This window comes from Homo sapiens, chromosome 3, assembly GCF_000001405.40.
Source record: "Homo sapiens chromosome 3, GRCh38.p14 Primary Assembly".
NCBI classification, from domain to species: Eukaryota; Metazoa; Chordata; class Mammalia; order Primates; family Hominidae; genus Homo; species Homo sapiens.
The window spans coordinates 125,841,445-125,864,601 of NC_000003.12; the positions used below are offsets into that span (position 1 = coordinate 125,841,445).

General features: G+C 45.6%; 1 protein-coding gene, 1 long non-coding RNA gene and 1 pseudogene across 3 annotated transcripts in view; 2 read left to right on the top strand and 1 right to left on the bottom strand.

Moving 5' to 3' along the window:
* Positions 1 to 6,885, top strand: part of LOC112267908 (translation initiation factor IF-2-like) — a 92,138-nt gene extending 85,253 nt beyond the window's left edge. The window contains exon 4 of the mRNA XM_047449437.1: positions 6,809 to 6,885. Coding sequence (XP_047305393.1) covers positions 6,809 to 6,826 — 18 coding nt within the window. The 3' untranslated portion in view covers positions 6,827 to 6,885. The remainder of the gene's footprint in view (positions 1 to 6,808) is intronic.
* Positions 1 to 23,157, bottom strand: part of LINC02614 (long intergenic non-protein coding RNA 2614) — a 58,841-nt gene that overhangs the window by 14,208 nt on the left and 21,476 nt on the right. The gene's annotated exons all lie outside the window — the stretch shown is intronic.
* The window catches only part of ENPP7P4 (ectonucleotide pyrophosphatase/phosphodiesterase 7 pseudogene 4), a 61,192-nt pseudogene continuing 44,813 nt past the window's right edge, over positions 6,779 to 23,157 (top strand).

Below are 23,157 nucleotides of genomic sequence, written 5' to 3' on the forward strand. Positions count from 1 at the left end.
CCCTGCCTCAGCCTCCCGAGTAGCTGGGATTACAGGCGCCTGCCACCACACCTGGCTTATTTTCATATTTTTTAGTAGAGATGGGGGTTTCATCATGTTGGCCAGGCTGGTCTTGAACTCCTGACCTCAGGTGATCTGCCCGCCTCAGCTTCCCAAAGTGCTGGGATTACAGGCGTGAGCCACTGAGCCCGGCCTAGCTTACTGATCTTGGGGGCCCAAGGTTTATTTTCCTTTCACGGCTAGAAATTGGTCACCATCACTTTGGCAGCATTCCACTGGCCAAAGCAAGTCATAAACAGCCCAGATTCATGTAGAGGAATATAAACTCTACCTCTTAAAGGAAAGATTGGTTCAATTACACTGCACAAGCGTTTGCAGAAAGTTGTACCCATCTTCGGAAACTACCACACACACACACACACACACACACACACACACACCTTTACATGTAACCCTCCCTTGAGGTGCATCTACTTCCAGGCAGAACCTAAACTTGACAGTACTCCACAGAAGGAAAGTAGTGTACTAAATGCCAGTTCTATTCTTACTCAACTTCAGCCTCATTATAAGCAGATTCTAACACAGTTTCTGTGTCTTGAGAAACATTGTAATTAATCTTTGGAATTTAAGAATTTGAATTCATAGCAGTAGCCTGTGCATAGGAAATATGCATATGGTAAGTTTTTCCTTTCTAATAAATCATGCTGAAGGAACAACAAGGTAACATTTTTTTTTTTTTTTTCTGAGAGGGAGTCCCACTCTGTTGCCCAGGCTGGAGTGCAGTGACGTGACCTCAGCTCACTGCAACCTCCACCTCCCGGGTTCAAGCGATTCTCCTTCCTCAGCCTCCTGAGTAGCTGGGATTATAGGTGCACAAGGCAGGGTTTCACCATGTTCGTCAGGTTTGTCTCGAACTCCTGACCTCTGATTTGCCCACCTCGGCCTCCCAAAGTGCTGGGATTATAGGCGTGAGCCACCGGCTCACGTACACTGTAACTGTATATTGAAAGTTTCTTTTTTTAACAATTAACAGGTTTAACAGAATATATCCCCTAATCTATTCCTTTCACTGCAGACATCTATTGCCTTTTCAGCCTAGCAGCCCTCCCCTCTATGGAGACTCACACTTCCTACTCCAGTCACGGGGCTCTCATGGGGGCTGCCATGTTCTCATATGACTCCACCCCTCTGGCCTCAGTTGATTGGTCCAGGGATGAACATCTGGCCTAAATTGGCCAATCAGAATTCTTCCCTTGAATATTTTTCCAAACTGGAACCAGAACAAGTTAATCATTCTCTGTGATGACAGGAACTGTGTGTAGTGAGAAATACAGGAGCTTTTGTGGCCACATATCTCACCTTATGGAGAAAAGGCTTGAGTAAGAAGAAATTAAGCCAGTATGCAGACAAAGCTAGAGACAGAGATAGAGAGACAGCTCTGAGGTGTCTCCACCCAGAGATTGAAAGAGAGATCTTGTGGTAGGCCCCTTGGTATTTATCAATCTAGTCCATGCTTGCTACTGCATACAACCAAGACTTTCACTTGAGAGTTTTTTCAAAGTCAGGCAGGGAATATGTCAGAAAAGCCACAGAAGCTGGGTGCAGTGACTCATGCCCGTAATCCCAACACTGGGAGGCCAAGGCGGGTGGATCATGAGGTCAGGAGTTCGAGACCAGCCTGACCAACGTGGCAAAACCCCGTCTCTACAAAAAATAAAAAAATTAGCAGGGCATGGTGGCAGGCGCCTGTAATCCCAGCTACTCAGGAAGCTGAGGCAAGAGAATCGTTTGAACCTGGGAAGCAGATGTTGCAGTAAGCCGAGATCATGCCATTGCAGTCCAGCCTGGGTGACAGAGCACGACTATGTCCCCCACCAAAAAAAGAGAAAAGAAAAGCCAGAGAGTTGATGCCCTGGGACCAGTCCTCAGCCAGTGACGGATGGGAGCCAGGCTATAAATGCTTCAATATTTCCCCCCCTGGATGGAACAACTTTGAAATGTATTCCACATCACTTCCCAGAGGTCCCCAGTGGGGTCAAATCCTAGTTGCCTGGAGTGGTAAGCTGCTCACTGAAGCCTCCTGTGTGGCCTCCTGCCTTGTCATGAATCAGTTCCTCACTCCCCTATTGGTGTTCCCTGGAATCATCTCCTAAATAATCCACTTGCAATCCTGTCCCTCTTTCAGGATCTGCTTGGGGTTGGGGTTGGGGAGTGCAGACCAAAACATGATCCCTTTTCCACTCCACACTAGTAAGATGAGTTTCTGTCACTGGCAACCAAGAGTCTGACTATTACCTCCTTCTGAGATAATTTCTAAAATGTATTTGGGAATTTCCCCACCTCCATCCCACTGCGTATGTCATCAATCTGTAGATTTCTTAACAAAGTTTAATGGTATTCTTTGATCAGCCTCAAGTTTCACAAAGCACACTGCACTTTCATAAGGGATCCCCATGACTGACAGATCAGCCATTCAAAAGAAGGGAAGTGTCAGAGATGGCTCTGCTAGACTCATGTATTTTTCAGTAGAACCTGGGTCAGGATGGTATGGTTGGGAGATGCTTCTGGAGCTCTGGGAACCACAAGCCTGCATGTCCCATGGTGGAGTATTAGCACAACTTGAAAACATAGTGGCAGGAGAAGGCTTCCTCCCCTCCCCTGCAGTTCATCCTCCACCATACCCAACGTGCTCAATAGATATTGGTTAAATGAATAATGGGTCCGGGCGTGGTGGCTCACACCTGTAATCCCAGCACTTTGGGAGGCTGAGGCAGGTGGATCACCTGAGGTCAGGAGTTCAAGACCAGCCTGGCCAACATGGCGAAATCCCGTCTCTATTAAAAATATAAAAATTAGCCAGGTGTGGTGGTGGGCGCCTGTAATCCCAGCTACTTGGGAGGCTGAGGCAGGAGAAGCACTTGAACCTGGGAGGCAGAGTTTACAGTACGCTGACATGGCACCACTGCACTCCAGCCTGGGCGACAGAGCGAGACTCAAAAAAAAAAGAAAGAAAAAAGAACAATGGATTTATTCCTTCCAAACTGCAACTCACCAGAAGAAGACCAAGACGCATCACAATGTTGTGGCCATAATCACCACAGTGACGATAATGAATATAATCAACTCTCGAGCCAGCCGCCTCCACTAAATCTAGCAGATCACATCTGGTGTTTCACTTTGGGGATGTTTTAATGGTCATGGTAGATGGTTGCCTGACTGCTGGCTGTTTCTACTGTGTTTCAGGAATATAGAGATGATGTACAAATCACCCCTAAAATTAATTAGTATGCAATTCTCAAAGAGCCAAACTCTACCCCAAAAGCTACTGGAATGAAAAAAAAAAAAAGAGTTTTAATTCTCAAAGAGACAAACTAGATAGTAAAAGCATTTATGTTCCCTTGGAGAATCTTCCCAACCATGGACTCAAAGTGGTCTCCAGACCAGGGAATGCCTTGGGCCTTGGACATTCCCAATTCTGGTATCACCTTCCATTCTCCTTTAGGTCCAGTTTTCTCAGAGGAGCATGCATTGTTCATTGCCACCAAGGGTATCCAAGGGCACAAACTGAAGATAATAGTGCTTTATTGTCTCTCAGTCATCTGTCTCTCCCACATGCTGGAAGGAGAGCCAAGTCCAATTTATCCAATTACAAAGTAGCAACATTGGCATCATGAGATCAGCTAACAAAACTTTCAGAGGCAATCTATCTTCCTACCAAAAGTAACTAACATCTGTGGAGCACTTACCATGGCTAAGGGTCAACGTAAGTGGTTTGCATGCTGCATGTGTCAGGATGGACTAGGTTATGCTACAGTAACAAATTAACCCCAGAGTCTCAGCAGCTTAGCAACCAAGGTTGATTTCTTACATTCCATGTCCACAATGGGTTGGCTGGGTATGGTGTGCTCCATATGGCCACTCAAAGACCTAGAATAATGGAAATTCTACCATCTTAATGCAGGGATTCTCCCATAGTTACTGCACCAGGAGATGAGAGGATGAGATAGTTATTCCCAAGCCCTCAAAAGCCGTAGACTAGAGGTGATGTCAGTGACTTCCACTTATAGAGCATTGGACCCTGGCATGGATCCATCTAACTACTGGGGGTCTGGGGAATATGGGGAGCACATGGAAATCCCATGAGCAGTAACCATTCCTGCCAGCATGCATTATTTCATCTGAACCTCACAACCCCATGGAATATAGAACAGAGTCTTGGAGAGTTATGGGACCTGCCCCAAGGCATCAGAGATAATGAGATGCAGAGCTGAGATATGACCCTTAGCCTGGCAGGATTCAAACCACTATGCTGCATACTCATTACAAAATTCTATGAAATTCCTCATACAGCAAAACACCACACCAAGTGAAAAGAAAGCCAAGTTGTGCAAATACACAATAGAACTCCCCTGACACTTCACCTCCTCACCCACCCCACCCCCCACTGAAAGAATCAACCCACACAAATAACTGGAACGAAATTCTCAGGCAATTTCAGCAGGGGAAATGGGGTTATCTCATCTGGGTCTCACATCCGACCTCGTCAAAACAAGACCATCCCTAAACTTCGCCTGAACACCTGGACACACCGTCATGTCTTGCCGCTTCTTGTTACTGGAAATCCAAGGATGACATCTTTATACAACTTACAGGTCTTTCTATAAGTGCCAAGATAAATGTCATCCCTGTACCTGCATATCATTCAGAGGTAGGCAAGCTTCTATGTAAAGTGCTAGATAGTAACTATTATCAGCTTTGCAGGACACATCTGATCTCCATCCTATATACTTTTTTTTGTTTTACAACTTTTTTTTCTTTTTAGATAGTGTCTAAAAAGAAAATAAAACTTATCCATGCTGTGATATGGATGAACGTTAAAAACATGCTCAGTGAAAGAAGCAGACATGAAAAGTCATATATTGTACAATTCCATTTATATGCAATGTTCAGACTAAGCCAATCGACAGAGATAGAAAGTAGATGAGAGGTTTCCAGGGGCTGCAGGAGGGGGTATGCAGAGTGACTGCTGAATGGATATGAGGCTTCCAATTGAGGTGTTGAAAAAGCCCTGAAACTAGGTAGTGGTGATAATTGCACATGATTAATGTACAAAATGTCACTGAATTGTACACTTTCCGATGCACAAAATGGTAAATGTTGCATATATTATACCACAATTTTATTCATTTATTTTAGAGATAGAGTCTCACTCCATCACCCAGGCTGTAGTGCAATGGCACAAACATAGCTCACTGCTGCCTTTACCGCCTGGGCTCAAGCAATCCTCCCACCTAGTCTTCCAAGTAGCTGGGACTACAGGTGAACGCTGCCACACCCAGGGTTTTTAATTTTTTTATAGAGTTGCATTCTCACTATATTACCCAGACTGGCCCAAACTCCTTGCTTCAAGCGATTCTCTCATCTTAGCCTCCCAAAGTGCTGGGATAACAGATGTAAGCCATCACACCAGGCAATTTTTAATTCTTATGTGAAATTTTCAACTAATAAATTCCTAGGATTAAGAAAATGTTGATCAACATGGGGATTAGAGGAAAAAATAATTTTAAACAAGAGAAAAAATTAAATGAGGTGATGTATATGTGTACAGTGCCTGGCTCATGATCACTGAGTCCACTGCAGCTTTTTTTTTTTTTTTTTTTTTGAGACAGGGTCTCACTCTGTCACCCAGGCTGAGTACAGTGGCATAATCACAGCTTACTGCAGCCTCAACCTCCTGGGCACAAGTGATCCTCCCACTTCAGCCTCTCAAGTAGCTGGGACTACAGGTGCACGCAACCACACCCAGCTATTTTTGTTGTTGTTGTTGTATTTTTGGTAGTGACAGGGTCTCGCCATGTTGCCCAGGCTGACATCTTGAACTCCTGGGCTCAAGCGATCCTCCCACCTCAGCTTCCCAAAGTGCTGGGATTACAGGTGTGAGCCACCATGCCCATCCTGTTGTAGCTATTTTAATAGTGCTGGTGAACAGTAATTTGCTCTCCCTATAAAAACAGGACATACTAAGCCAAGGAAAGCACCAATCTAGTTTGTTCTCCCCAGATCTTCAAAATGTTGGAATTAGTATAAGGGCCCAAAATATTTCACATGGTTTGATTTTTTTTGTTTTTGGAGACGGAGTCTCATTCCATCGTCCAGGTTGGAGTGCAGTGGCACAATCCCGGCTCACTGCAACCTCTACCTCCCGGGTTCAAGCCATTCTCCTGCCTCAGCCTCCCAAGTAGCTGGAATTACAGACATGTACCGCCACGCCCTGCTAATATTTGCATTTTTAGTAGAAATGGGGTTTCTCCATGTTGGCCAGGCTGGGCTCGAACTCCTGACCTCAAATGATCTACCCGCCTCGGCCTCCCAAAGTGCTGGGATTACAGGTGTAAGCCACCACGCCAGGCCAGTTTAATTTTTTTATTGTGGTAAAATACATACAAAATCTATTATTTTAGCCATTTTCAAAGGAAAAATTCAGTGGTGTTAAGTGCATCCACCACATTGTACAGCCATGTCCCCCATCCATCTCCAGAACGCTTTCATCCTGTCCTGCAAATATGCGGCACCTTGCTACACTCCGGGTTGTTTGTCCCACAACAGAGCTGGGCTGAATTATTAATGTGGACGTTGTTCAACAACGGATTAAAGAGGGAGAAGCCCACGATCTCTGTGAGGAGTGCATGACAGGTGCTCATGGGATGACAGGGTTCGGGGCCCTCCAGCTGCTGCCGCCTGTCCTACTGAGTAGCCACCCCGTCCCAGGGAGGAAGAGCACTCACAGCTGCTGCTGATCTCCTTCCAGGGCTTCCGCTGGGACTAGGATCAGGATGTGGACACCCCCAATCTGGACCGTCTAGCCGGGGAGGGCGTCAAGGCCAGGTACCTCATGCCACCCTTTGTCACGATGACCTCCCGGTCCCGCTTCACCGCCATCCCGGGTAAGCGCCACTCTGCCCATTTCACCCGGTGCCCATCAAAGCCCCAGCGTCCGTCATTCCTGGAATAAGAAGCAGAGCTCGGTCAGCTCTAGGGAGGCTGAGGCGGCTCCAGGGTCTCACTCTGTTTCCCAGGCTGTAGCTCAATGGCATAGTCACAGCTCAGTGGAGCCTCAATCTCCTGGTGTCAAGCAGTCCTGCCTACCTCAGGCTCCCCAGTAGCTGGGGATACAGACCAACCACCGTGCCTAATTTTCTCATTTTTTTAGAGATTGGGGCAGGGGATGTCTCACTATGTTGCCTAGGCTGGTTTTGAACTCCTGGCCTCAAGTGATCATCCCGCCTCAGCCTCCCAAAGTGCTGAGATTAGAGACATGAGCTACCGTGCCTGGCCTGATCTTTTTTAAAAAAGTAAATAAGGTCGGGCATGGTGGCTCACCCCTGTAATCCCAGCACTTTGGGAGGCTGAGGTGGGTGGATCACCTGAGTTCAGGAGTTCAAGACCAGCCTGGCCAACATGGTGAAACGTCGTCTCTCCTAAAAATACAAAAATAAGCTGAGCTTGGTGGCAGACGCCTATAACCCCAGCTACTCGGGAGTCTGATACAGGAGAATCACTTGAACCCAGGAGGTGGAAGTTGAAGTGAGCTGAGATCATGCCATTGTACTCCAGTTTGGGCAACAGCACAAGATTTTGTCTCAAAAAAAGAAAAAATAAAAGTAATAAAAATAAAAAGGTAAATAATTAAAATCACTTTTAAAGAATTGTATAAAAATAATAAAATATTAACATTTACAGAGCTCAGTTAGATGACGTGACTCATACCCTCCAATGGTGTCCTGGTTTTCTTAAATGAGAATTCAAATGTCTTTCTGTGGCCCAAAAGATCCCACACAGCCTGGCCCCTGGCCCATCTTCTGCCAGCCTCTCTCATCTCTCTCCCTCTCCTTCACTTCCCTCCAGATCACAAAGGCCTTTTGCCTGTGCCTTCTGCCCTGCTCCCTCCAGCCCCAGGGACTTGGCCTGTGCTAGTCCAGTCCCTCCAGCTCACTAGGAGCATGCAGTCCAGTCGGGGAGACAGACAACAGACACCCTAACAGGCACATACATCCCAGGACAACTCGGGAGGCACCAAGGAGGAAAACGAGTTTTCCAGGCACAGACTACAGGGGTAAACTGGCTTAAAACTAGAGAGGGAGAAAGGGGCTCTCTGAGCATGGGGCAGTTGAGCTGAAAGATATCTCAGGGGACCAGAGCAAGGAAAAGTGTTCCAGGCAGAGGGAACAGCATGTGTGAGGTCTTTGAGACAAAGACCTGGTCATTTCAGAATCCCAGTGGCCACTAAAATAGAGGGATTCTGACCTAAAAAGGATGGAGAGGAGGCTGCTGGAAGGCAAAGGACTCTGTGTAAGAATCATAATAGTGGGGGTGGAGCCAAGATGGCCGAATAGGAAGAGCTCCAGTCTACAGCTCCCAGCATGAGTGACACAGAAGACAGGAGATTTCTGCATTTCCAAATGAGGTACTTGGTTCATCTCAGTGGGGAGTGTCAGAAAGTGGGTGCAGGACAGTGGGTGCAGTGCACTGAGCATGAGCCCAAGCAAGGTGAGGCATTGCCTCACCCGGGAAGTGCAAGGGGTCAGAGAATTCCCTTCCCTAGTCAAAGAAAGGGGTGACAGATGGCACCTGGAAAATCGGGTCACTCTCACCCTAATACTGTGCTTTTCCAACAGTCTTAGCAAATGGCACACCAGGAGATTATATCCCGCACCTGGCTCAGAGGGTCCTACATTCACGGAGCCTCACTTATTGCTAGCACAGCAGTCTGAGATCAAACTGCAAGGAGGCAGCAAGGCTGGGAGAGGGGCGACCGCCATTGCCTGGGCTTCAGTAGGTAAACAAAGTGGCTGGGAAGCTCGAACTGGGTGGAGCCCACTGCAGCTTAAGGAGGCCTGCCTGCCTCTGTAGACTCCACCTCTGGGGGCAGGGCATTGCCAAACAAAAGGCGGCAGAATCCTCTGCAGACTTAAATGTCCCTGTCTGACAGCTTTGAAGAGAGTAGTGGTTCTCCCAGCATGCAGCTGGAGATCTGAGAATGGGAAGACTGCCTCCTCAAGTGGGTCCCTGACCCCCAAGTAGCCTAATTGGGAGGCACCCCCCAGTAGGGGCAGACTGACACCTCACATGGCTGGGTACTCTCTGAGACAAAACTTCCAGAGGAACAATCAGACGGCAACATTTGCAGCTCACCAATATCCACTGTTCTGCAGCCTCTGCTGCTGATACCCAGGCTAACAGGGTCTGGAGTGGACCTCCAGCAAACTCCAACAGACCTGCAGCTGAGGGTCCTGACTGTTAGAAGGAAAACTAACAAAGAGAAGGGATATCCACACAAAAAACCCCATCTGTACATCACCATCATCAAAGACCAAAGGTAGATAAAACCGCAAAGATGGGGAAAAAACAGAGCAGAAAAAATGGGAAACTCTAAAAATCAGAGAGCCTCTCCTCCTCCAAAGGAATGCAGCTCCTCACCAGCAATGGAACAAAGCTGGACAGAGAATGACTTTGATGAGTTGAGAGAAGAAGGCTTCAGACGATCAAACTACTCCGAACTAAAGGAGGAAGTTCAAACCCATGGCAAAGAAGTTAAAATCCTTGAAAAAAGGTTAGATGAATGGCTAACTATATGGATGAATGGCTAACTAGAATAACCAATGCAGAGAAGTCCTTAAAGGACCTGATGGAGCTGAAAACCGAGGCAAGAGAACTACATGACAAATGCACAAGCCTCAGTAACTGATTTGATCAACTGTAAGTAAGGATATCAGTGATGGAAGATGAAATGAATGAAATGAAGTGAGAAGTTTAGAGAAAAAAGAATATAAAGAAATGAACAAAGCCTCCAAGAAATATGGGACTATGTGAAAAGACAAAATCTACGTCTGATTGGTGTACCTGAAAGTGATGGGGGAGAATGGAACCAAGTTGGAAAACACTCTGCAGGATATTATGCAGGAGAACTTCCCCAATCTAGCAAGGCAGGCCAACATTCAAATTCGGGAAATACAGAGAATGCCACAAAGATACTCCTTGAGAAGAGCAACTCCAAGACACATAATTGTCAGATTCACCAAAGTTAAAATGAAGGAAAAAATGTTAAGGGCAGCCAGAGAGAAAGGTCGGGTTACCTACAAAGGGAAGTCCATCAGACTAACAACTGATCTCTCAGCAGAAGCTCTACAAGCCAGAAGAGAGTGGGGGCCAATTTTCAACATTCTTAAAGAGAAGAATTTTCAACCCAGAATCTCATATCCAGCCAAACTAAGCTTCATAAGTGAAGGAGAAATAAAATACTTTACAGACAAGCAAATGCTGAGAGATTTTGTCACCACCAGGCCTGCCCTACAAGAGCTCCTGAAGGAAGCACTAAACATGGAAAGGAAAAACCGTTACAGCCACTGCAAAAACATGCCAAATTGTAAAGACCATCGAGGCTAGGAAGAAACTGCATCAACTAACGAGAGAAATAACCAGCTAACCTCATAATGACAGGATCAAATTCACACATAACAATATTAACCTTAAGTGTCAATGGGCTGAATTCTCTGATTAAAAGACACAGACTGGCAAATTGGATAAAGAGTCAAGACCCATCACTGTCCTGTATTCAGGAAACCCATCTCATGTGCAGAGACACACATAGGCTCAAAATAAAGGGATGGAGGAAGATCTACCAAGCAAATGGAAAACAAAAAAAGGCAGGGGTTGCAATCCTAGTCTCTGATAAAACAGACTTTAAACCAGCAAAGATCAAAAGAGACAAAGAAGGCCATTACATAATGGTAAAGGGATCAATTCAACAAGAAGTGCTAACTATCCTAAATATATCTGCACCCAATACAGGAGCACCCAGATTCATAAAGCAAGTCCTTAGAGACCTACAAAGAGACTTAGACTCCCACATGATAATAATGGGAGATTTTAACACCCCACTGTCAACATTAGACAGATTAACGAGACAGAAAGTTAACAAGGATATCCAGGGATTGAACTCAGCTCTTCACCAAGAGGACCTAATAGACATCTACAGAACTCTCCACCCCAAACCAACAGAATATATATTCTTCTCAGCACCACACCACACTTATTCCAAAATTGACCACATATTTGGAAGTGAAGCACTCCTCAGCAAATGTAAAACAACAGAAATTATAACAAACTCTCAGACCACAGTGCAATCAAACTAGAACTCAGGATTAAGAAATTCACTCAAAACCACTCAACTACATGGAAACTGAACAAACTGCTCCTGAATGACTACTGGGTAAATAACGAAATGAAGGCAGAAATAAAGATGTTCTTTGAAACCAATGAGAACAAAGACACAACATACCAGAATCTCTGGGACACATTCAAAGCAGTGTGTAGAGGGAAATTTATAGCACTAAATGACCACAAGAGAAACAGGAGAGATCTAAAGTTGACACCCTAACATCACAATTAAAAGAACTAGAGAAGCAAGAGCAAACACATTCAAAAGCTAGCAGAAGGCAAGAAACAATTAAGATCAGAGCAGAACTGAAGGAAATAGAGACACAAAAAACCCTTCAAAAAATCCATGAATCCAGGAGCTGGTTTTTTGAAAAGATCAACAAAATTGATAGACCGCTAGCAAGACTAATAAAGAAGAAAAGAGAGAAGAATCAAATAGACACAATAAAAAATGATAAAGGTGATATCACCACCAATCCCACAGAAATACAAACTACCATCAGAGAATACTATAAGCACGTCTATGCAAATGAACTAGAAAATCTAGAAGGAATGGATAAATTCCTCAACACATACACCTTTCCAAGACTAAACCAGGAAGAAGTTGAATCTCTGAATAGATCAATAACAGGCTCTAAAATTAAGGCAATAATTAATAGCTTACCAACCAAAAAGAGTCCAGGACCAGATGGATTCACAGCCGAATTCTACCAGAGGTATAAGGAGGAGCTGGTACCATTCCTTCTGAAACTATTCCAAACAATAGAAAAAGAGAGAATCCTCCCTAACTTGTTTTATGAGGCCAGCATCATCCTGATACCAAAGCCTGGCAGAGACAAAACAAAAAAAGAGAATTTTAGATCAATATCCCTGATGAACATCGATGCAAAAATCCTCAATAAAATACTGGCAAACCGAATCCAGCAGCACATCAAAAAGCTTATTGACCATGATCACGTGGGCTTCATCCCTGGGATGCAAGGCTGGTTCAACATACACAAATCAATAAACATAATCCAGCATATAAACAGAACCAATGACAAAAACCATATGATTATCTCATTAGATGCAGAAAAGGCCTGTGACAAAATTCAACAATGCTTCATGCTAAAAACTCAATAAATTAGGTATTGATGGGACATATCTCAAAATAATAAGAGCTATCTATGACAAACCCACAGCCAATATCATACTGAATGGGCAAAAACTCGAAGCATTCCCTTTGAAAACTGGCACCAGACAGGGATGCCCTCTCTCAGTGCTCCTATTCAACATAGTGTTGGAAGTTCTGGTCAGGGCAATTAGGCAGGAGAAGGAAACAAAGGGCATTCAATTAGGAAAAGAGGAAGTCAAATTGTCCCCGTTTGCAGATGACATGATTGTATATCTAGAAAACCCCATCATCTCAGCCCAAAATCTCCTTAAGCTGATAGGCAACTTCAGCAAAGTCTCAGGATACAAAATCAATGTGCAAAAATCACAAGCATTCTAATACACCAATAACAGACAGAGAGCCAAATCCTGAGTGAACTCCCATTCACAATTGCTTCAAAGAGAATAAAATACCTAGGAATCCAACTTACAAGGGAAGTGAAGGACCTCTTCAAGGAGAACTATAAACCACTGCTCAACGAAATAAGAGGATACAAACAAATGGAAGAACATTCCATGCTCATGGGTAGGAAGAATCAATATTGTAAAAATGGCCATACTGCCGAAGGTAATTTATAGATTCAATGCCATCCCCATCAAGCTACCAATGACTTTCTTCACAGAATTGGAAAAAACTACTTTAAAGTTCATATGGAACCAAAAAAAGAGCCCACATTGCCAAGTCAATCCTAAGCCAAAAGAACAAAGCTGGAGGCATCATGCTACCTGACTTCAAACTATTCTACAAGGCTACAGTAACCAAAACAGCATGGTACTGGTACCAAAACAGAGATATAGACCAATGGAACAGAATAGAGCCCTCAAAAATAATGCCACATATCTACAACTATCTGATCTTTGACAAACTTGAGAAAAACAAGAAATGGGGAAAGGATTCCCTATTTAATAAATGGTGCTGGGAAAACTGGCTAGCCATATGTAGAAAGCTGAAACTGGATCCCTTCCTTACACCTTATACAAAAATTAATTCAAGATGGATTAAAGACTTAAATGTTAGACCTAAAACCATAAAAGCCTTAGAAGAAAACCTAGGCAATACCATTCAGAACATAGGCATGGGCAAGGACTTCATGTCTAAAACACCAAAAGCAATGGCAACAAATGCCAAAATTGACAAATAGGATCTAATTAAACTCAAGAGCTTCTGCACAGCAAAAGAAACTACCATCAGAGTGAATAGGCAACCTACAGAATGGGAGAAAATTTTTGCAATCTATTCATCTGACAAAGGGCTGATATCCAGAATCTACAATGAACTCCAACAAATTTACAAGACAAAAACAAACAACCCCATCAACAAGTGGGCAAAGGAAATGAGCAAACACCTCTGAAAAGAAGACATTTATGCAGCCAAAAGACACATGAAAAAATGCTCATCACCACTGGCCAGAGAAATGCAAATCAAAACCACAATGAGATACCATCTCACACCAGTTAGAATGGCGATCATTAAAGAGGCAGGAAACAACAGGTGCTGGAGAGGATGTGGAGAAATAGGAACACTTTTACACTGTTGGTGGGACTGTAAACTAGTTCAACCATTGTGGAAGTCAGTGTGGCGATTCCTCAGGGATTTAGAACTAGAAATACCATTTGACCCAGCCATCCCATTACTGGGTATATACCCAAAGGATTACAAATCATGCTGCTATAAAGACACATGCACATGTATGTTTATTGTGCCACTATTCACAATAGCAAAGACTTGGAAACAAGCCAAATGTCCAACAATAGACTGGATTAATAAAATGTGGCATATACACACCATGGAATACTATGCAGCCATAAAAAATGATGAGTTCCTTTCCTTTGTAGGGACATGGATGAAGCTGGAAACCATCATTCTCAGCAAACTATCGCAAGGACAAAAAACCAAACACTGCATGTTCTCACTCATAGCTGGGAATTAAACAATGAGAACACATGGACACAGGAAGGGGAACATCACACACGGGGGCCTGTTTTGGGGTGGGGGGAGGGGGGAGGGATAGCATTCGGAGATATACCTAATGTTAAATGACGAGTTAATGGGTGCAGCACACCAACATGGCACATGTATACATATGTAACAAATCTGCACGTTGTGCACATGCACCCTAAAACTTAAAGCATGATAAAAAATAAAAAATAAAATAAAAACATTGGCTGTTGACTCCAAATATCCTGCTTCATCATCTCTCCACTCCAGAAACTTTTCACATGCTTACAAAGGGTGTTCATTTCTCCTCTAAGTATTTGCACTCCAGCCCCACCTGCAAGAAGGTGGAAGTAGGGCCTCTGCCTGGGATGGTAACTCTCAAATACAAGGCAAGACCTTTCTCTCCTCCAATATCCCCAGGACTGAAGGACTGTGCAAGTCTGCATATTGATCAAGCTTCTTCCTCCTCCCTTATCTGAAGGGACTTACTTCCTTCAAGACACTTTTCCTCTTCCCACCTAGCTCCGTGCCCGTATCCAGTCATCTTCCAACCCATCTCTCCCCACCTCCATGCCACACAAGAGGGGCTTGACCACAGCACCTGGAAGTTCCTTAAAATTGAATGGTGTGTCGGGCCGGGTGCGGTGGCTCATGTCAGTAACCCCAGCACTTTGGGAGGCTGAGGCAGGCAGGTCACTTGTGGTCAGGAGATCGAGACCAGCCTGGCCAACATGGTGAAAATCCATCTCTACTAAAAATACAAAAGTTAGCTGGGTGTGGTGGTGCATGCCTGTAGTCTCAGCTACTTGGGGGGCTGAGTCAAGGGAATCACTTGAACCCAGGAGGCAGAGGTTACAGTGAGCCGAGATTGCACCACTGCACTCCAGCCTGGGTGACAGAGTGAGACTCTGCCTCAAAAAAAAAAAAAAAAAAAAAAAAAAAAAAAAAAATCGAATGGTGTGATTAGCTTATGATTTTTAAAAAATGGAATGATGTATTCATTTTCTAAGCTACATAACAAATCAACACAAATTTAGCAGCTTAAAACATCCATCTATTACCTCTCCTTTCCTGTGGGTCAGGAGTCTGGGGTTGCAGCTTCAGCTGGGTCCTCTGCTCAGGTACTTACAAGGTTGTGATCAAGGTGTCGGCTGCAATTAGTGTCTCATATGAGGCTTAGGGTCTTCTCCCAACCTCACATGGTTGTTGGCAGAATTTATTTCCATGCAACTGTGGAACTCATGTGGCTTCTTCAAAACCAGCCGGGTGTGGTGGCTCACGCCTGTAATCCCAGCACTTTCGGAGGCTGAGGCAGGTGGATCACCCGAGGTTAGGAGTTCGAGACCAGCCTGGCCAATATGGTGAAACCCCATCTTTACTAAAAATACAAAACTTAGCCTGGCATGATGGCGCATGTCTGTAATCCCAGCTACTTGGGAGGCTGAGGCAGGAGAATCACTTGAACCCAGGAGGCAGAAGTTGCAGTAAGCCGAGATCGTGCCACTGCACTCCAGCCTGGGCAACAGAGTGAGACTCCATCTCAAAAACAAGCAAACAAACAAAAGCCAAAAACCAGGAGGAAGGAGTCTCTCTCCTCCAGACCCTCATTGAAGATCTCACCTGAAGATGTCAGGCCCACCCTGAATAATCTCCCTTTTGATTAACTCAAAGCGAACAGATTAGGGGCTTAGTTACATCTGCAAAATCCCTTCAACTTTTCCATAGGTATAGATTAGAAGCAAGCCACGGGTCCTGCCTACACTCCAAGGGAGAGGAGATTACACCTGGCATTTATCCAGGGCAAGAAGCTAAGGGGTCATCTCAGAATTCTGCCTTCCAAATAGATCCTCGGTGGAGCTCAAATGCCTGGGCGAGCACCAGCCTTTGTTTAAAGGCAACAGAGAATGCTGCCCTGTCTCAGATCTTCAGCAAGCCTCCAGAATGATGGTCCAGTCTCTGAGCCCAGGGCCAAGGCAGCAGGAGCTTTGGGCGCACATGGGGACTGGCTTCCCCCACTTTGAAGTGAATCATCACATCCGTATTAGACCCTAGCTGTTGCTCAGGCAAAAATGATGATTTAGAAGAAGATGGAGAGAAGAGGAGAGTTAATTTAAAAGCACTTATATTTAGCCGGGCACAGTGGTTCACGTCTGTAATCCCAGCACTTTGGGAGGCTGAGGCAGGTGGATCACGAGGTCAGGAGATGGAGACTATCCTGGCTAACACGGTGAAACCCCGTCTCTGTTAAAAATACAAAAAATTAGCAGGGCTTGGTGGCAGGTGCCTGTAGTCCCAGCTACTCGGGAGGCTGAGGCAGGAGCATGGCGTGAACCTGGGAGGCAGATCTTGCAGTGAGCCGAGATCGCGCCACTGCACTCCAGCCTGGGCAACAGAGTGAAACTCCGTCTCAAAAAAAGAAAAAAAAAAAGAAAGTACTTATATTCATTCTCTAGGGCTGCCACAACCAAGTACCACAAGCTGGGTGACTTGAAACAAGAGAAATTGATTGTCTTGTGGCTCTGGTGGCCAGCAGTCTGAAATGGAGGTGCCAGCAGGGCCACACTCTCTCCTGCACTTGTCAGGGAGTCCTGCCTTGCCTCTTCCTAGCTTCCTGTGGTCTCCTGGCAGTTTTCAGTGTTCCTTGGTTTGCAGACGCATCAGTCCAATCTTCTGTCTGATCCATGGCCTTCTTCCCTGTGTCTCCATGACTCAGCGTGTCCTCTCCTCTTTTATAAGGACACCAGTCATTGACTTAGGGCCATCCCTACTCCAGGATGACTTCATCCTAATCAATAGCATCTGCAATAACCCTCTTTCTTTCTTCCTTTTTTTTTTTTTGAGACGGAGTTTCACTCTTGTTGCCCAGGCTGGAGTGCAATGGCATGATCTCAGCTCAATGCAACCTCCACCTCCTGGGTTCAAGTGATTCTCCTGCCTCAGCACCCTGAGTAGCTGGGATTAGAGGTATGCACCACCACACTCAGCTAATTTTGTATTTTTAGTAGAGACGGGGTTTCTCCATGTTGGTCAGGCTGGTCTCAAACTCCTGACCTCAGGTGATCCACCCACAGCGGCCTCCCAAAGTGCTGGGTTTACAGGTGTGAGCCACGATGCCCGGCCTGCAATAAGTATTTCTAAATAAGATCACATTCTCAGCTACAAGAATTTAGGATTTCAACATCTTTTGAGGAGGACTCAATTTAACCCATAAGAATACTATGTGGGCCACACATGGTGCTTCACATCTGTTATCCCAGTATTTCGGGAAGTTGAAGCAGGAGGATCATTGCTCAGGGCCTATGGGGACACCGGGTGCATAAGACCACAGTGTTGACTGGTGTGGGGACTCACACCTGTAAGTTTGGGAACCTAAGGCAGGGCAATCGCTTGAGCTCAGGAGTTTGAGGCCAGCCTGGGTGACATACTGAGATCTCATTTCTTAAAAAAAAAAAAAAAAAAAATTAATTAGCTGGGCATGGTGGTACCCGCCTACAGGCCCAGCTACTCAGGAGGCTGAAGCAGGAGGGTCGCTTGATTCCAGAAGATCAAGGCTGTGGTGAGCTGTGATTGCACCACTGCACTCCAGCCTGGGCAATAGAGCAAGCCCTGTCTCAAAAAAAAAAAAAAAAGTCATCTCCCTTGTCTTCTGATTCCCTGAGCTGTCATAGAAAGGAAGTGAAGCAGTGAAAGCATCCCCCCAAAAGAGACTTTTCAAAACCAGCCCAAGCAACATAGAAAGACCTTGCCTCTAGAAAGTATTTAAATTTGAAGGAAAAAAAATAAAAAGCAGTACTATGGCACAGAGTTGACAGCTACAGGTGTGGCTACATCCAGGTCCTCAAACTGTATCATCAGAATGACCCCTCACCCTCCCCTCGCTTTCCATTTTACTTTCTTAAGCATGAACATGAAATTTCCAAGATTGTCTCTCCTTTGGCTAATCTGCTTCTCAGACCCAATCGCTGTGGCCAGGGTGGTGGAAGGATATTGACATCCAGGCTGGGACCACATGCCCCAGCCCCAGATCAGGGTGGGGAGTGGCCAGTCGCACACATGCCGTGGGGTACTAGTGACTCCTCGGTGGAAAATCGGGAACTGTCATTGGAGAGGAGCGATGGAAGAAAGGCTGACACACTGCAATGTATCTCCTGCACCAGCCTGGGACTCGATGTCTTGAGAATGGCAGTTTGCAGTCTGATGACCCAGTACTCAGTCCAGGGCAATCCCAACTCCATCTGTGGGGCTGCCCACAGTACATGGACCCCCTCACTGGATGTGCTGACCACACGTGCAAACAGCCACCTCCCAGCCCCACTCCCTGCAGTCCCGCTGAACCCTGTCGAAATTCCCCTCAGTTCTCACCAAGAATAAAAGCAATTCTGAGGGTGAGCGGCTCATTCCGCTAGTTTAAATCTCTCGATTCCTTCCCTCTCCAGAACTCTGTACTTACTGCTCCATCACTGGTAATGACAATGAACATTTTCACAATCTCACTTTTTATTGCAAAGTGATTGAGGACCAGTTAGAATAAGTTATGCTACAGAAACTAAAGAAATCCCGTCAAGCAAATGGTGTGTAATAGAAAGTCTTAGGGCAGCCGTGTATATTTTCTCCCCCAATGAATCAATTGAAAATGAGAGGATCTTACCGCCATGTTCCGGGCAGAAGCTATCAAAAGTGTAAACCATGATATTATAATTTAATCATTTTACATCCGTCAAATGGATATGGCCCAGGGGTGAAAAGTGGATGCTCCGTAACTAGATGATGGTCAAGAGTTATAAAAATGAGGTCCTCTCTGTTCAACCTTTCTCCTTTCTTGAAAGGATACTCAATGTCATGCTCAGGGCCTCTAATGGCCAGAAATAAAGTTCCTCTCAGTTTCAGAGCACCCCAGGGCAACCCCAAAACCAGAGCAACTGCTTATAGCCATAAGCCACAGACTGTGTACTGTGCAATTCCTGGGGCGGCATTTTCATAAATATGTGGGTGGCGCCCCCTGGAGGTGTGCAATGTACAACTTGCATAAATGGTAAGTGATGGTATCCCAAAGTCCACCAAGAAGAGGTAAACAAAATTCCCATCGATGTTGCCATCAGTCATGAGTCTGTCTTTTTTTCATGGGACAGTAGCAAAAACAATTTGGCCAAATGTGCTTGGATGATCTCTAAGCTCTAAGATGGAATCAGGGTCTCTCACTTTCAGCACTATTGACATTTGGGGCTGGATCATTACTTTGTCTTAGTGGGAGTTGTCCGGGGCATTGTAGGATGTTTAGCAGCATCCGTGGCCTCTACCCATTAGATGCCAGTAGCACCACCTCCTCCAGCTGCAACAACCAAAACTCTCCAGACATGGGCACATGTTCTCTGGGGAGCAAAATCACACCCTGGTTGAGAAGCCAGACATAATACGCAGATCACATGTAAGTAAGAGAGCCTAAGGGCCACACAGGTGATGCTGTACCCATGACAAAGCCAGAGTCTTAAAGAGGTTAGAGAGGTGGAGAAAGAGAAAGGAAATAGAGTCCCAGCTGCCGAGAGCAACAGATGCTGACTAGATGTTGTTGATAGTCATCTTAAACTGAGTTAAAAAATGCTGAGAAGCCATCAGCTGCCATCCTGCTCTCCAGGGACAAAGCTGCTGAAAAAGGCCTGGAGATCAACAAAGCGCCAGACACAGGTGCACTGAGCAAAGAAACCAGAGATTGAGACAAAAAAGACATTCCCTCAAAGACTACTCATTTCCAAGGGGGAGAAAAAGTGGAGTCACAAAAAACAGTTGAGGCTGGGTAGAGTGACTCACACCTGTAATCCCAGCACTTTGGGATTACTCCCATGCTAAGACGGGAAGATTGCTTGAGCTCAGGAGTTCAAGACCGGCCTGGGCAACATAGCAAGACCTTGCCTCTAGAAAAAGGGAAAAAACTAGCCAGGTGTGATGATACATGCCTGTGGTCTCAGCTACTCAGGAGGCTGAGGTGGGAGGATTGCTTGAACACAGGAGGTAGAGGCTGCAGTGAACCGGGATCACAACACTGCACTCCAGCCTGGGCTACAGAGTGAGATCCTGTCTCAACAAAGAAAAAAATTAAATAAAATTAAGGCCAGGCACAATGGCTCATGCCTGTAATCTCAGCACTTTGGGAGGCCAAGGTGGGCAGATCACGGGGTCAGGAGATCAAGACCATCCTAACACAGTGAAACCCCATCTGTACTAAAAATACAAACAATTAGCCGGACATGGTGGTGGGTTCATATAGTCCCAGCTACTCTGGAGGCTGAGGCAGAAGAATGGAGTAAACTCAGGAGGTGGAGTTTGCAGTGAGCCAAGATCATGCCACTGCACTCCAGCCTGGGCAAAAGAGCAAGACTCCATCTCAAAACAAAAAATAAAAGAAAAAAGAAAATTAAAAAATTTTTTGAGACCAAGTCTCACTCTGTCGCCCAGGCTGGAGTGTAATGGTGCGATCTCGGCTCACTGCAACCTCCGCCTCCTGGGTTCAAGTGATTCTCATGCCTCGACCTTGTGCCTCAACATGACTACAGGCATGTTGTCACCATGCCTGGCTAATTTTTGCATTTTTAGTAGAGATGGGGTTTCGCCATGTTGTCCAGGATGGTCTTGAACTCCTAGGTTCAAGTGATCTACCCACCTCAGCCTCCCAAAATGCTGAGATTACAGGCATTAGCCACCGTGCCTGACCTCTAACTTTTCGTTATGGAAATTTCCCATAGGCACAAAAAGCAGGGAGAGAATTGCACCATGAACCCCCATTCACCCATCATCCCACTGCAAGAACTTGTCAACATCTCGCCAATCTCATTCCAGTTCCCGCTTTTCTTTTCCTTCTTGCTATTTTACAATATTTTAAAGCAAATTCCAGACATTTCATTTCACCCACATCCATAACACACCAGGGTGCATTCTTGATGTAAGGGTTTTGTTTTGTTTTGTTTTATAACCCCCATGCCATTGCCACAGTTAATAGATTTAACATGAAGAAACTAAGATTCTTGTAGGTGGAGAAAAGATCTAATTACCACCTTAAAGCCTCTCCTACCAGCACTTCTCAGATCTGAACGTGTATGCAGATCACCCAGGCATCTTGTTAAAATGCAGATTCTGGCCCAGCAGGTCCTCCCGGGTGAGCCCTGAGAGTCTTCAATTCCAAAAGCTCACAGGTGACGCAATGCTGCAGGTCCATGAATCACACAAGAGGAAGGGTTGGCCAAACACCCACAACAACTGGGTGCAAAGTCCTGACTGTTCCCGACTGCAGGGCCTTCAGTGAACGGGGAAGCTGGGGACCATTTGGGAAAGAAGGGAGGTTTTTCGTATCAGCTCCAGGCCCTGTAGAACTGCCAGGGAATAACAGAAACAAGGTCAACAAAGTCCAACCAACAGCATGAGTGCATTCATATTCCACAACCACTGCAGCAAAGAACCATGAAATGGGTGGCTTCAAACAATGTCTGGGCCTGGTGCTGTGGCTCACACCTAAATAATCTCAGCACTTTGGGAGGCTGAGGTGGGTGGATCACCTGAGGCCAGGAATTCAAGACCAGCCTGGCCAATATGGCAAAACCTCATCTCTACTAAAAATACAAAAATTAGCCATGCATGGTGGCAGGCACCTGTAGCCCAGCTACTTGGGAGGCTGAGGCAAGAGAATGGCTTGAGCCCAGGAAGTGGAGGATGCAGTGAATCAAGATCGTGCAACTGCACTCCAGACTGGGCAACAGAGCAAGGCTCTTTCTAAAAAAAAAAAGAAAAAAAAAATGTCTGGAGGCCAGAAGTCCAAAATCAATCAAATGTCAGCAGGACTATGCTCCTTCAGAGGTTCTAGGGGAGAATCCATTCCTTGCCTCTTCCAGCTTGTAGAGGCTACTAGATTTCCTCAACTTGTGGCTGCATGATCCAATCTCTGCCTCTGTGATCACCTTGCCTCCTCCTCTTCTCCTCTTCTGTATGGGTCTCCTCCTCTGGAGGAAGAGTGTCAGGCCTCTGAGCCCAAGCTAAGCCATCGTATCCCCTGTGACCTGCACGTACACATCCAGATGGCCAGTTCCTGCCTTAACTGATGACATTATCTTGTGAAATGCCTTCTCCTGGCTCATCCTGGCTCAGAAGCTCCCCTACTGAGCACCTTGTGACCCCCACTCCTGCCTGCCAGAGAACCCCCCTTTTTCCTTTACCTACCCAAATCCTATAAAATGGCCCCACCCCATCTCCCTTCGCTCACTCTTTTCAGACTCAGTCCACCTGCACCCAGGTGAAATAAACAGCTTTATTGTTCACACAAAGCCTGTTTGGTGGTCTCTTCACACGGACCCATGTGAAATTTGGTGTCATAACTCGGATCGGGGGACCTACCTTGGGACATCAATCCCCTGTCCTCCTGCTCTTTGCTCTGTGAGAAAGATCCACCTACAACCTCAAGTCCTCAGGCTGACCAGCCCAAGAACATCTCACCAATTTCCAATCCGGTAAGCAGCTTCTTTTTACTCTCTTCTCCAACCTCCCTCACTATCCCTCAACCTCTTTCTCCTTTCAATCTTGATGCCACACTTCAATCTCTCCCTTCTCTTAATTTCAATTCCTTTCATTTTCTGGTAGAGACAAAGGAGACACATTTTATCCGTGGACCCAAAACTCTGGCGCCTGTCACGGACTAGGGAAGGCAGCTTTTCCTTGGTGTTTAATCATTGCAGGGACACCTCTGTGATTATTCACCCAGGTTTCAGAGGTGTCAGACCACGCAGGGATGCCTGCCTTTGTCCTTCACCCTTAGTGGCAAGTCCCACTTTTCTGGGGGAAGGGGCAAGAACCCCTCAACCCCTTCTCCT